General features: G+C 36.6%; 1 protein-coding gene across 2 annotated transcripts in view; it reads right to left on the reverse strand.

The window, feature by feature from the left end:
- The window catches only part of ZNF280C (zinc finger protein 280C), a 66,193-nt gene that overhangs the window by 14,299 nt on the left and 38,141 nt on the right, over window positions 1-13,753 (reverse strand). The window contains exons 9-13 of one of the 2 annotated variants that reach the window (NM_017666.5): window positions 13,505-13,722; window positions 11,972-12,129; window positions 10,677-10,777; window positions 9,754-9,900; window positions 3,344-3,475 (exon numbers count right to left, since the gene is read on the reverse strand). In NM_017666.5, the coding sequence (NP_060136.1) occupies window positions 3,344-3,475; window positions 9,754-9,900; window positions 10,677-10,777; window positions 11,972-12,129; window positions 13,505-13,722 (756 nt within the window). The remainder of the gene's footprint in view (window positions 1-3,343; window positions 3,476-9,753; window positions 9,901-10,676; window positions 10,778-11,971; window positions 12,130-13,504; window positions 13,723-13,753) is intronic. The other variant, XM_006724765.4, reaches the window with a different exon arrangement.

Raw genomic sequence — 13,753 nt, forward strand, 5'->3', positions numbered from 1 at the left:
AAAACAAAACAAAAGAACAAAAAAAGAAAAACAGTTTGGCAGTTTCTTAAAATATTAAAGGTAAGAGTTACCATTTGACTCAGCCATTCTACTCAGAGGTATATACCCATGAGAAATGAAAACATACGTTCACACAAAAACCTGTACATGAATTTTTACAGCACCATTATAGCCAAAAAGAGGAAACAACCCATATGCCCACCAATAGATGAAAGGATAAAATGTAGAATATCTATACAGTGGAGTATTACTCAGCCACAAAAAAGAATGAAGTACTGAAACATGGTACAATATCAATGAACCTACAAAACATTATGCTAAGCGAAAGAAACCAGTCCCTAAAGATGGCATATTGTATGACTCAATTTATATGAAACGTCCAGAATAGGAAAATCCATAGACACTAAAAGCAGACTAAAGTTTGCACAGGTCTAATGGAGGGGAAATAGTGAATGCTAAAGGGTATGAGGTTTCTTTTGAGGGTGATAAAAATGTTTTAAAATTTATTGTAGTGATGTTTGCCCAAATCTGAATATACTAAAAACCACTGAACTGTGTACACTGTAAATGGGTAAATTGTGTGATATATGAATTATATCTCAATAACACTGTTACCAAAAAACCACTGCAATACAAAAAGTTAAAATCATTATTTTGAAAATGGCAAGTATAAACTACAATCAGATAAGCCTTCTACTTATTCTAAATGGTCATACTGATTAAATGAAATTTATCTTGATATTTACTTACTGTTGTAATATTAGTTTTATATTGATAACAGTTGTATGTTAACAGATATTAACGAATAATTAGGAGTAAAAATTAGATAAATATCAAAAGAGCACATTCCATAGCTATTTTATGCTTTGATAGAATTAAAAAGGGCTGGGTGTGGTGGCTCATGCCTGTAACCCCAGCACTTTGGGAGGCCAAGGTGGGTGGACTGCCTGAGCTCAGGAGTTTGAGACCAGCCTGGGCAACTCATCTCTACCAAAAATGCAATAAAATTAGCTGGGCATGGTGACATCCGCCTGTGGTCCCAGCTACTTGGGAGGCTGAGGTGGGAGGATCGCTTGAGCCTCGGAGGCAGAGGTTGCAGTAAGCTAAGATGGCACCACTACACTCCAACCTGGGTGACAGAGTGAGACCCCCGTCTCAAAAACAAACAAACAAAAAAACCCAACTAACTAAAAGGCTTTCACAAATAGAGAGGTCAAAATGTAATATAGAGGTCTGAAATAATAACTCTGGAAAGGCCTGCATTACCCTCTGGTAACTATAAAACAGATTTTCAGTAAATGTGACCTCTTCCTGGGGGATCAGGGGGCATGATTTCTGCTTCCAAGGTTATGGTGAGCTTATATCAATTCATCACACAGCATGGTGGTTATAATAATGCTCAGAATTTCCTTAATGGTAACATATAAAATTTATCATTTACTATTTGGAAAAAGAAAATGTTTGTATCTATTGGTTAATAATAGAAAAGTCATCCACTAACATTTTCTTTAATCATTTGATTACACTCCCCCCATGTACTTGAAGAACAGCTTCTATGAAGTCCTATGAAATATATGTGGTATAGAAAAGCACTGAAGCAGAACTTGTTAGCTTGCAAAAAGAAAATACATGTTTTGAAAGCACTAGAGTAGAAGTCAAAAGACCTGAGTTTAAGAATCTTAGTACTACCTCTTCCTAGCTACATGACCTTGAGTAAGGAATTTAGCCTCTCTGAGCCTCTTCATCTCTAATATGGGGATAATACTTGCCTTGTCTATATCACTGGATCACCACATAGGTTAAATAATAAAATGTATGGAAAGGCACACCGAACACTTAATTCTAAAGTGCTATAAGACATATAGTATCATTATTATCAATATTATCATTACTATTGGTATCTTATTAATAAGGGAAGATGTGAGAGAGGATTGTACTGCCTACATTAATATTCTGCATGTCTAATACCAACATGGAACAAATGGATTGCAGGGAAGGATGCCAGATGGTTTATCTTATGCTAGATATTCAGATAATTGTTTTATATTAATTTTGTTAATTTAAATAGCAGACATACTCGCATTCAAAAGCATGTACTCAAAGTGAAATACAAATGTTTAGGGATTATCTCACCTTGGATTATCTATCTCTTTACTGGAGAAAATATTCAAGAGCTAACTTTATGTAAAGAAGTCAGAGGGCCAGGCGTGGTGGCTCATGCCTGTAACCCCACACTCTGGGAGGCCGAGGCGGGCAGATCACTTGAGGCCAGGAGTTTGAGACCAGCCTGGCCATGTTGGCGAAACCCAGTCTCTATTAAAAATACAAACAATTAGCTGGACATCATGCTGCATGCTTGTAATCCCAACTACTTGGGAGACTGAGGCACGAGAATCACTTGAACCCGGGAGGCGGAGGCTGCAGTAAGCTGAGATCGCGCCACTGCACTCCAGCCTGAGGGATAGAGTGAGACTCTGTCTCAAAAAAAAAAAAAAAAAAAAAAAAAAAGTCAGCGAAAACATATGTATATAAGGCAAAGAAGGAGAAAGAAATTTGTAGTCTGATGTGTGCTTGCTCATGAAAAACAGCAATGCTATGCTATCCAGGAGCAAAACTTGCTTCTCTGAGAGTAGATTAGTAATACTAACTTCAACAAACCTATGGCATTCAAGGCACTGTGACAGATGCTGGGGACACAAAGATAAATTAAATATAATTCCTGATCTTAAATATCTTATAGTCTAGCAACTGAAAAAGACATACACACTGACAACTGGAATAGCTCAAAAACAGCCTACAGAACATTGAAACGACCTGCCAACTTAGTCTACAATCTAGTTGCACTAGAAATATCCCTCCAACAAACCACATCAATCAACTAAAAAAAACAATGGTTAGAAGTTTTTCTTTACAAGCATAAGAATGATAAAACCTAAAATTAAAGTCTTAATAACAATCAGAGGTCAATTTTAATATTATATTCAATAGATAAAACCAGGCAGTAGTTTGTTTCTATTATCATACAAAATGTTAAAAATACAGCATATTTAAAACTCACTTTTGGGGTGCATGGGATATTTTGATACAAGCATACAATACATAATGATCAAATCAGGGTAACGGGTATCCATCACCTCAAGTATTTATCATTTATTTGTGTTAGGGACATTCCAATTCCACTCTTTTAGTTATTTTGAAATACACAATAAATTATTGTTAATATAGTTGCCCTAGTGAGCTTTCTAACACTAGATCTTATTCCTTCTATCCATAATAAAAAAAAAAACATAAAAAAATTAATAGAATGTGCAAAAAACCACCAAAAACTCCCTCACAAACTCACTTTTGCTCCAGGAGGCAATCCTTCTAGTTCTTTAGGCTTTATAAATGTACGATGCTGCGCCTTATGTTCAGCTTTCTCCTTGCTGGTCAAAAATTGTAGTCTGCATTTTGGGCAACGATGAACTCCTTTTTTCTGTTTACAGAAAATATTAGATATAATAACTTCCACCACCACAAATCCTAGGAGCTGAAATTGCTCTTAATTCTAAAATCTAAATAAATTTACAACCAGAATTTTACCATCTCCCACCACAGACAATTCAAAGTGATCTATTATTTAAAAGTACTCCTTGTGTTAGTATTTGAGTTTCAAAAGCATTAGTTACCATATAAGGATCAAACATAAAAAGTATATAATTAGATTTTAATTGGAAAAGTTCTATACTGATTATAGAGGCATAAATACGAGTGGATCCCAATCTATTGTTTGAGAAACCCTTGACTAAATCCCTCCTCAAACCTAGCCCCATTATTATTTTACCAATGGGAAATGGGACCCAAGAGAAATTTGCACTTGCCCATAGCTGGTTAGTGTTCTGTCTACTATACAATTGCCATCTTTATGCATATGTTCTTATTAATTAAAATATATTTTATATTTATTATAAATTTAGAACAACATACAAATACAAAAGAAAGCTTTCTTTAAAGATGTATCTCCACCAGCTCATCATTTGCATATAAAACACAAACAATCTTTTAGGAAAACCAAACGAGGTAACATGTATGAAAGTATCTAGTAGTTACTGGTGCATAAAAAGCATTTGCTAAATAAAAGCTCTTTACAAAGTTCAAAGCAATATATAAAGATAAGGTGTTTGCATTACTATTTTAGTTTGATCTTCAGACTATTTTAGAAGTGTGGTGTACTGGATCATACCATAGGTACAGTAAACACAAACAGATTTACCTGTAGGTGCTCAAGAGAGAAGGGGAAAGAAGAAAATCTCAGCTAAGTAATAGACAGCAAATTAAGATGATGGATAGAATGTTCCCGCAGAGTACAGTTCCCACAATTTTTTTCTCTACCTATACCTATACCTCATTCAGTTTCATGGCTTTAAATAGCATCCACCCACCGCCTACTTGACATCTCTTGATGTCTAATAGGTATTTCAAATCAACATGGACAAAAAGTTGAACTCTAGATTCCCTCTCATTCATCCCGAGTGGGGAAGGGCACAAAATCTGTTCCTTCCCTACTCTTCCCAATATCTCAGTATATGGGATCTAAATTCTTGCAGCTGCTCAGGACAAAAAACACTTGGTCACTCTTAACTCTTCTCTTTCTCTTACATCCCACATTCAACAAATTAATAAAACCTGTCAGTGATACCTTAAAAAAAAATTTATAATCTTTCAATTTCTCATCACCTCCAATCACTGCTACTATACTTGTCTGAGCCACTTACGCGGACTCTTGCAAGAGCCTCCTATCTTCTCCCTATTTCCATCCTTTCTCCTAGTCTGTTCTTCCCATAGCTGTCAGAGTGATCTTAAAATGTTACAGATCTTTCACATGGTTAAACCCTCCAAATGGCTTTCCGTAACACTCCAGAATTCTGACTCTGGCTTACAAGTCCTCAAATGATCTGGCTTACATTCTCTTGCTACAATTTCATCTCCTACTACTTTTCCTCTCACTTGTTTACTGTGCTCCAGCCACACTGGTCTCCTTGCTCTTCCTTGAATATCCTAGGTATATGTTCACTTCACTGCCTACCTATTGTTCCCTCTACCTGGAACATTCTCTCCCAGATGAGTAAGCCACATGACTTACTCTCTTATTCCCTTTGGAGAAGCCCTCTTTGACCACACCATTTAAAAAACAGAAACCACTCCTTCACCTGAGCCCTGGCACTCTCTATCTACCTATATTTTCTTCCCATGGTACTTACCATCAGCTGGCATACATATACATTCAGACACCACACACACACACACACACACACACACACACACACACACACACACACACACACACCCTTCTCTACCATGATGCATTATTTCAGTGAGTACAAACCTTGCTTTGCTTACTTCTGTATCCCCAGTACCTAAAACAGTCCTTGGCATATATTAGGCACTCAAATATTTCTTAAATAAAGAAATAAAGTGAGGCAAGAGACTGACAGAGTACAAATGAGCAGCAGGCACAATTTAACTAGTTCAAAGTGTCTGCCATTTCATTCAATGAGTATTTACTTGTCCAGAGCCCCAAGATGGGAGACATTAATCTACTATTCCCTTAGTTGGACTCAAGTCCTGGATATCCCTCTTATGTATGTATGCTTGCATTGTGCTAATGATCACAGATGATACTTTTTTTTGTTTTTTGAGATACAGTTTTGCTTTTGTTGCCCAGGCTGGAGTGCAATGGCACAACCTCGGCTCACTGCAACCTCCGTCTCCTGGGTTCAAGCAGTTCTCCTGCCTCAGCCTCCCAACTAGCTGGGATTACAGGCACCTGCCACCACACCTGGCTAATTTTGTATTTTTAGAGATGGGGCAGGGCTGGTCTCGAACTCCTGACCTCCAGTGATCCACCCTCCTCGGTCTCCCAAAGAGCTGGGATTACAGGCATGAGCCACTGTGCCCAACTAATACATTTTTAAAATAATGTTTAACCAAAGAAACAGTAACTTGTTCCAAGGGTAGAGAAAAAGTTAAGTGTTGAACTTCTTGACATGCATACTATATGGTTTTTGGGTTATATGAGGAATTTTTTTTTCTTTTGAGACGGAGTCTTGCTCTGTCTCCCAGGCTGGAGTGGCATGATCTTGGCTCACTGCAACCTCTGCCTCCCGGGTTCATGTGATTCTCCCCCCTCAGCCTACGAGTAGCTGGGATTACAGGCATGCACCACCACACCCAGCTAATTTTTTTTATTTTTAGTAGAGACAGGGTTTCACCATGTTGGCCAGGCTAGTCTCAAACTCCTGGCCTCAGGTGATCCGCCTGCCTTGGCCTCCCAAAGTGCTGGGATTACAGGCATGAGCCACTGCACCTGGCCAATTTGAGGGATTTTCAAGGGTAACTATCTGTAATTTCTGCCTTTAGACCTAATGTCAATGTGGAATATGAGTCTGCGGTGGAAGCTTGGGCTATAAATCAATTTTGGGCTCTGCCATTTGTTAGGGAATGTGACACTGGGCAAATTACTTTCTATAAAGCTTTGTTTCCTCATCTATAAAATGAAAACAATCATATACCTGCCTCATAGGGTGGCTGTGAAGATTAAACAAGATAATGCATGTAAAAGCACCAGTGGCTGTCAAATGGTAAGTGATTATTATATGTTAACTGCTTATTGTTGTTATTAAAGAGCTAATGAGGATATTTAACACATGTGGAGTCTTTCGTCCTTTGTTAAAAAATGTATAAACTGCATTGCTAACTCCAAAATCACTCAAGACATAATAATATATTATTTTTAGGAAAAAGTTGCAATCAAAGTTTTCAAAAAGAATAAAATAAACCATAGAGTCAATAATTCTTATTACATAAAATTGCACTAATGCCATCTAAATTATAAGCTTATAATATTGGTCAGCTCAGGTTTTTGAGTCTTTTGTGAATAATTATGCAAACTGCAAATACCTTCAGAGAAGCCTGATGATCCTTCTTATCAATAGAATCTTACCTCTTCACTGCTGACTGTTTACTCTTCAGGTACTCCAAACTTAACAAAAAAATTCAGCACCTGAAATGGACTGAATGCCTGTGTCCCCTCCGCCCCCCAATTCATATGGCGAAATCCTAATTTTCAATGTAATAGTATTGGGAGGTGGAGCCTTCGGAAACTAATTAGATTATGATGGTGGAGCTGTCATAAATGGGATTAGTGTCCTTATAAAAGGGACCCTAGAGAGCCCTCTCCACCCCTTCCCCCATGTGAAGACACAGTGAGAATATGGCCATCTATGAACAAGGAAGCAGGTCCTCACCAGACACTGAACCACTGGTGCCCTGATCTTGGACTTTACAGCCTCCATAACAGAGAGAAATAAGTGCTTGTTGTTTAAGCTTCCCAGTCAATGGTATAATAGCATGTTATAGTAGCTCAAACAGACTAAGACAGCACCTGTGGCACCTCAGTGGTCCCTCAGACTACTCCCAGATGTGATGATTCAGCAGAAGGATCGATAGGACTTAGTGTTATACTCACAGCTATGTTTTATTACAGTGTAAGGGTACAGAGCAGGATTAATAAAGGAAAATGGTGTACTGGATAGCTTCTAGAGGATTACCAGGCGCCAACTTCTAAGAGCTCTATTCCAATGGAGTCACATAGGACACACTTAATCCCTCAGCAATGAACTGCAGCAACATGTATAAAATCCCTCAGCAATGAACTGCAGCAACACGTATAAAGTGTTGCTTGATGGGAAAGCTCTCTTGAGTCTAAGAGCTTAGGTTTTTTATGGAGGTAAGCCACCAAATTTTCAGACGACTCCTCCCACTGCAAGAAAAGCAGGTGGTCACCATAACCGTATTTTTTTGTGCGAATTTTCTTGACTAACTGGTACAACATGGCTCAAGGTTCCAGGCATGTAAACCACTCTTATCAGTTAATAACATAGAGAACATTTTAGAAGCTCAATTTCCAAGATTTAGCCAAGGGCCAGTTATACAAGCAGGCACTTCTGAAATTGTGCAATATTTGAGCAACTCAGACCTGTTGGGTAACTCTTTCCAATACATACAGCAAGTTAAGGCATACAACTTAGGATATGAAGAATGACTACAGATCAGATAAACCACTTATAAGACACAGCTCACAAAGTGGGTTCATTATGTCTTTCTTACCTTTCTAAGCATGTTATCACTCCCTTCAAATCTACATCTATATCACTCTGGAGCTTAGTAAAGCACAGGGGAAAGAATTATGTTAAAAAACCCATAATTAGACAGTCAGAGATACTGCTTTATGTTCCATTCTTCTTTTCAAAATTGAAGGCCAAAAAATGAAATACAGACCACCAAGAATAGTGTTTCCCAAACTCTATACCTCAAGAAATGTTAATAGGTATTGTGCAAATAAAGGGCTCAAAGGTTAAAAATGTTTGAGGACTATTACACACTATGTCCCTTGCTTAGAGATTTACAGTATTAGCATATTAAAAGCTCTGAAAAGTCTTGTTGTTAAAAATAAACAAAAAACACCTCTATGAATTTTGTAAATCCAGCCATTCACTAAATTTCTTTTACCAGGAACAAGTTAAGAGGGGAACACTTATTAACATCTGAGTGAACACTGTTGGTGGAAACCCTAGAAAGATTTTGCCAAAGTTTTTAAGGGTGAGATGGCCTACCAGGATAAAAAAAAAAAAAAAAGACACTGATACCATCCAAGTCATAACACAGGTAATCTGAATGTGTTTGGAAATTCTATTTTTATGACTTTTTTTCCAATTAACAACTATAAGTTGATTTCATGATCATCCAATGACTACATTCAAGGGCGACGTTAGTGCCAGTACTGAATCAACTTGCCGAGACAATGCAATCAATACTACGAAAATGTAATGAGCTGATCAGTGAGGAGGCAAAACTTGATTACATGACCAGACTTAGTAAATCCGTTGACTTCTGATTTTGGCAAAGGCACTATTGCTGTTTCAAACACTCAAGAATAGGCCCACTGTTTCATCAAAGTTTTCAGCCCACAGGATGCTCTAATTGAGGAAAAGAATCAGTAAGCATAAAATCAGAATTCAAGGGAAAGATGCAAGCATCAATACTGGTATCCCAGAAATTATATAGCAGAACTGGCAAAAGTCACAAAGTAAGTAAGTTATAACCTAAATATAGTTCTCTAGTATAGTTCACATATCTGGTCATAAGTGTTCTTGCTGTTTCCTTTGTTACTGGCTGCTACAAAAGTCAATTCTGGGTCACTGATGACAACCACATGTCTCATAATAAAAAGTGGGCTAGAAAGTAGAAATAAGATTTCAAGAGAAAGAGGAAAATACAAGGTTATGAGTCCTTAATCTTATGTTCCTCCATTCAAACTTATTCTTTTTCCTGCTCTTGATAAGCACCTTCAAAGTCATTCCCAGTCCCACCACCCTTAGGTCCTGAAATATCTAACCTAAATATTTCATGAATCTTCTGTTTTTTCCTCCACTTTGGGGTTCCTATTTCTAGCTATCTTTCAGAACTTTGACTATTTATGATTCTCAGTGTCACCAGAAAGCAAGCAAGGAAAATAAGTGAAAGTTTCACAAGTTATTCAGCATAAATTATAAATTAATTGTGTCATTCAGAACAACTTTGCTTTCTGTCCAGAACAAATCTAACCAATGTTCTACGTTATAGATAGATATAGATGTAGCTATAGATCTATACATATAGATCTATATCTTTTCACTAAGACAACATGAACAAATAAGAACTGCTTAATCTCACCTGATGCTTCATGTAATGATTCATGTAGGGGGTTGCCATTTTACTAACTTTGAGGCAAAATGGACATAGCAAGTTCTTAGTGTTTTCATGGGCTGCTCTAAAATGAGCTTCTACATCAGAAAATGTTGATGATCTAAACTGGCAAACCTAGAAATATAAAGAAGGCTTAGTTTAACTTGATATTTTATAACTTCTTGCAATTACAATCAAAGTAGCAATAACGGGTCATCTGTTTGGAAGAACATGTACTACTAGTCCAGCTCTGCTGCCTATACAACCAAGAATCATATTACTGCAAGTAATAAAGATAACCTTTGAAAGATATCTTTCAAAGTTTAGGCATATATTCCAAAACACAGTAAGACTCTCTTCTTCTTTTCAAATCTACCACCCCCTATCTTGATGTGAATTTTCAACCTCTGCCAAATATTGTTCTAAAAAGCTTTTCCTGCTATATAAAACAGAGTATTCTCTTCTTTAGATTTTAAATAGCATCCATGCTATGCCAGTGTCAATTTATCTTCATCTCAATTCCTCGTTACTGGAAGCCACTTCAAATTCTGGAACACTGATCCCAAAGCATTTAATTTGGTATTCTATAACTAAGAGATTTTCCTATTTCTCTAGCATATCTATAATTTTCCCTATATGATAACCCACACATTTGTCTTTCTCTAGTAGGGCATTTCCTCATCTAGCACAGAGGTCAGCAAACTACAACCCACAGGCAAAATCTACTCCACCCCTTTACTTACAATGCATGAGTTAAACCCAAGGGGGTTTCCACTAATGAAGAGGGTCTTCAATTTTAGCATAGTAACTAATTTTATTTAAATGGCTTTAAAAAATCAAAAGAACAATACTATTTCATGGCACATGAAAATTAAACAAACACTTAACTACACAATAAAATGTGTGTGTACCTGGCAAACATATGGCATTTCACCAGGTTTATGGGTGTCCTTCATATGTTGTAAAAGAATATGCTCTGTTTCAAATGATAATTCACAGATTTTGCAAATAGCTGAAAGTGGAAAAAAACACATTATACCATTTAAGGATGTATATAAAAAAAGATTCATTTTGTACATCCACAACAAGTAATAATAATAGTAGAAGTAACAGTGATGTGGTTCTAACAATTCTATAGCTGTTGACTCTGTAATGCTGTTCCAAGGATATATTAGCTTATTTAATTCTCGTAACATCACTGAGGAAGGTACTGTTATTTTTATTCCTATTTTTCAGATGAGGAACCAGAAGCACAGAAAAATTAAGAAACTTGCTTGAGATCTCACAGCTGTAGTAAGAGGCAAAGTTGGAATCTGAACCAAATTTGTCCGCGTCTCAGACTCTAAATCTTAACATTGTAGTTAACTTTTGTCTAAAGTGTAAATCAAGACAATTAACTTCAAATTTGAAAACCATGGAATCTGGGTGTTCTAATTTAGTCCCCTACACCAATGCATGTGCCAAGGAAGTTTCCACTAATGAATTGTTTATAAGAAAGATTTCAATTATTTTATTTTATTTTATTTTTTTGAGATGGAGTCTCGCTCTTGTTGCCCAGGCTGGAGTGCAATGGTGCCATCTCGGCTCACCGCAACCTCTGCCTCCTGGGTTCAAGTGATTCTCCTGCCTCAGTCTCCCAAGTAGCTGGGATTACAGGCGTGCGCCACCTTGCCTGGCTAATTTTGTATTTTTAGTACAGATGGGGTTTCTCCATGTTAGTCAGGCTGGTCTCTAACTCCCGACCTCAGGTGATCAACCCACCTCGGCTTCCCAGAGTGCTGGGATTACAGGAATGAGCCACTGCGCCCGACCAAGGGACTTCAATTTTAACAGTTTTTTTCTTCTACTTTTTTTTTTTTTTTTTTTTTTTGTAGAGGCAGGGTCTTACTATGTTGCCCAGGCTGGAGTGCAGTGGCTATTCACAGGTGCAATTGATCATAGCATTCTATAGTACTGAACTCATGGGCTCAAGTGATCCTCCTGCCTCAGCCTCCTCAGTAGCTGGGTGTATAGGCATGCACCATCACACCTGGCTTTAGAACACATTTCATCTAGGTTTATAAAAGTTATGATTTTTTTTTTCAATTTTGCCCTCATATTACAAAGTCTACTTCTTATTTTTTTCTGCCAGAATTTTTAAGGTTTCCTCACAGTTCGGATGATCAAAGTCAACAATATTCAGGATTCCAAAGAAACTTTCACTTACTAGAAAACTCATGGGGAGTGTGTGTACTCTCAATGTGGCACTGCAGTTGGAAGGGTGTGGGATATTGCCGGTAACAGTGCTGGCAGGTGGTGTGGTTTTCCCAGCTTTCATTGTTCTGCTTCTCAAGTTCCAAGTGATGTTTCATGTGGTTCATAAACCTACAAACAATTTGCCAGTAAGAGCAAAAATTCAGACTTATAACCAAAGAAAAACCTCACAAATAAGTCTCTGAAAATAAATTTTTAAAATGTAATTCTATGACTCAAAATAACATCTCCAAGGCCTGAAAGCACTCTATAAAGTGTGTACTTTAAATAATTTACTTTCATTAAGTGGCTCAGTAAGGTTTTTTTATCTTTGTTTCTAAAATAATCCATTAATGTAGTAGTATGAAACATCACTAATTTGCTGTAACACTATATCATTATTTTAGATTTAAAATTTTTTTTAGCAAAGAAAAATAGCAGGCTTCTTTTCCATACATGAAATACTATTTACATTTTAAAATAAAATACTGAAAGGATGGAAACTCTACCACCAAAAGCAGCTACAGTGAAGAGACAAATCTTTGAAAGCTCTGAAGGTTTCAGCTGCTCAAAAGACAAACTGCTGGTATATTTTTATTTGTGTCTTGGTTTCTAAATGCATGCAATAGCAATTTTAATGACTATAATTACAAGAACCTTTTGTTTTATCTAATTATACTGGCTTACTGTTAGCACAAACTATTCATTTTTCTTAGCAGGCTGTGCCCTTTGTAGCACTGTCTATTTTTCAGTTTTACCTTCTGCTATTTTAGCTTCTCTGAAAGGCTTCTGAAGAGAAGGAACTATGATGTTCAATGGCAGAGAGTACAATATAAATGGACATACCATTTTCAAAGGGCTTACTAAAACTTTTTGCTGAATTTCAAAGTAAAGTTATTCAATGTAAACAACAGTTTTAAGACTGGGTCAACTACTTACAATTATTATGAATCACTAAAGAAAATAATCTTGAAACAAAGTGATAATGTCATCAACCTACATAGCAATCATTGTGAAGGTTTGGGTTTTTATCTTTTTTCACACCTCCAAAACACTTCTCTTTGGTTTTGGTAAACGCCTGCAATTTATTTTAAAATGGAAAAATTTGAGCTTTAAATAAGGTTAGTATGGAGGAGGTCATGCTGCATAGGGTTCTTCTTGTGACATGAAGAAAAGTAAGATTCAAAGTCAGCTAGAAAATATAAGTTTTTCATGAAACCGTCTAGTTCAGTAATAAATGTAGGGAAAATAAGTAGTTTTCCCCTAAATTAAAATACATTTTGTCTTTTCTTAAGCTATCTGAAAACAAAACAACTAGGTGGATCCTGGAGTCAAACTCTTAAAATACAAGAAGGAACAAAAGCTTTTCAACATGATAATCTGCCACTGTTCTTAGTAGAAAGTATTAGAATTAATTACCGAGGATGGCAGAGCAATGTAAAGATACTATATTCTTATCTGTCATATCCCAACTTTCAAACAGAAATAAAAATAAATATTTACATACCTAATATTATTTTTAAGAACTTTCGAGCAACTGAAGCATTTAAAGGTTGTGTAAGTCTTTGGCTCTTTCTCAGTGACTCCTTCATGCCTTCCATAATAAAACTCATTGACTAACATGATCAACTTTCCTGTCTCTGAATCAGTCTTGTCTTCATCACATGGACGTTCTGATTTAACAATTACTCCCAAAAATTTAGTTATCATGTCTGGACAACAATGCTGAAAGAGGAAAAAAATATGAGCCTTGTCT

The sequence above is a fragment of the Homo sapiens genome, chromosome X, assembly GCF_000001405.40.
Source record: "Homo sapiens chromosome X, GRCh38.p14 Primary Assembly".
Lineage (NCBI taxonomy): Eukaryota > Metazoa > Chordata > Mammalia > Primates > Hominidae > Homo > Homo sapiens.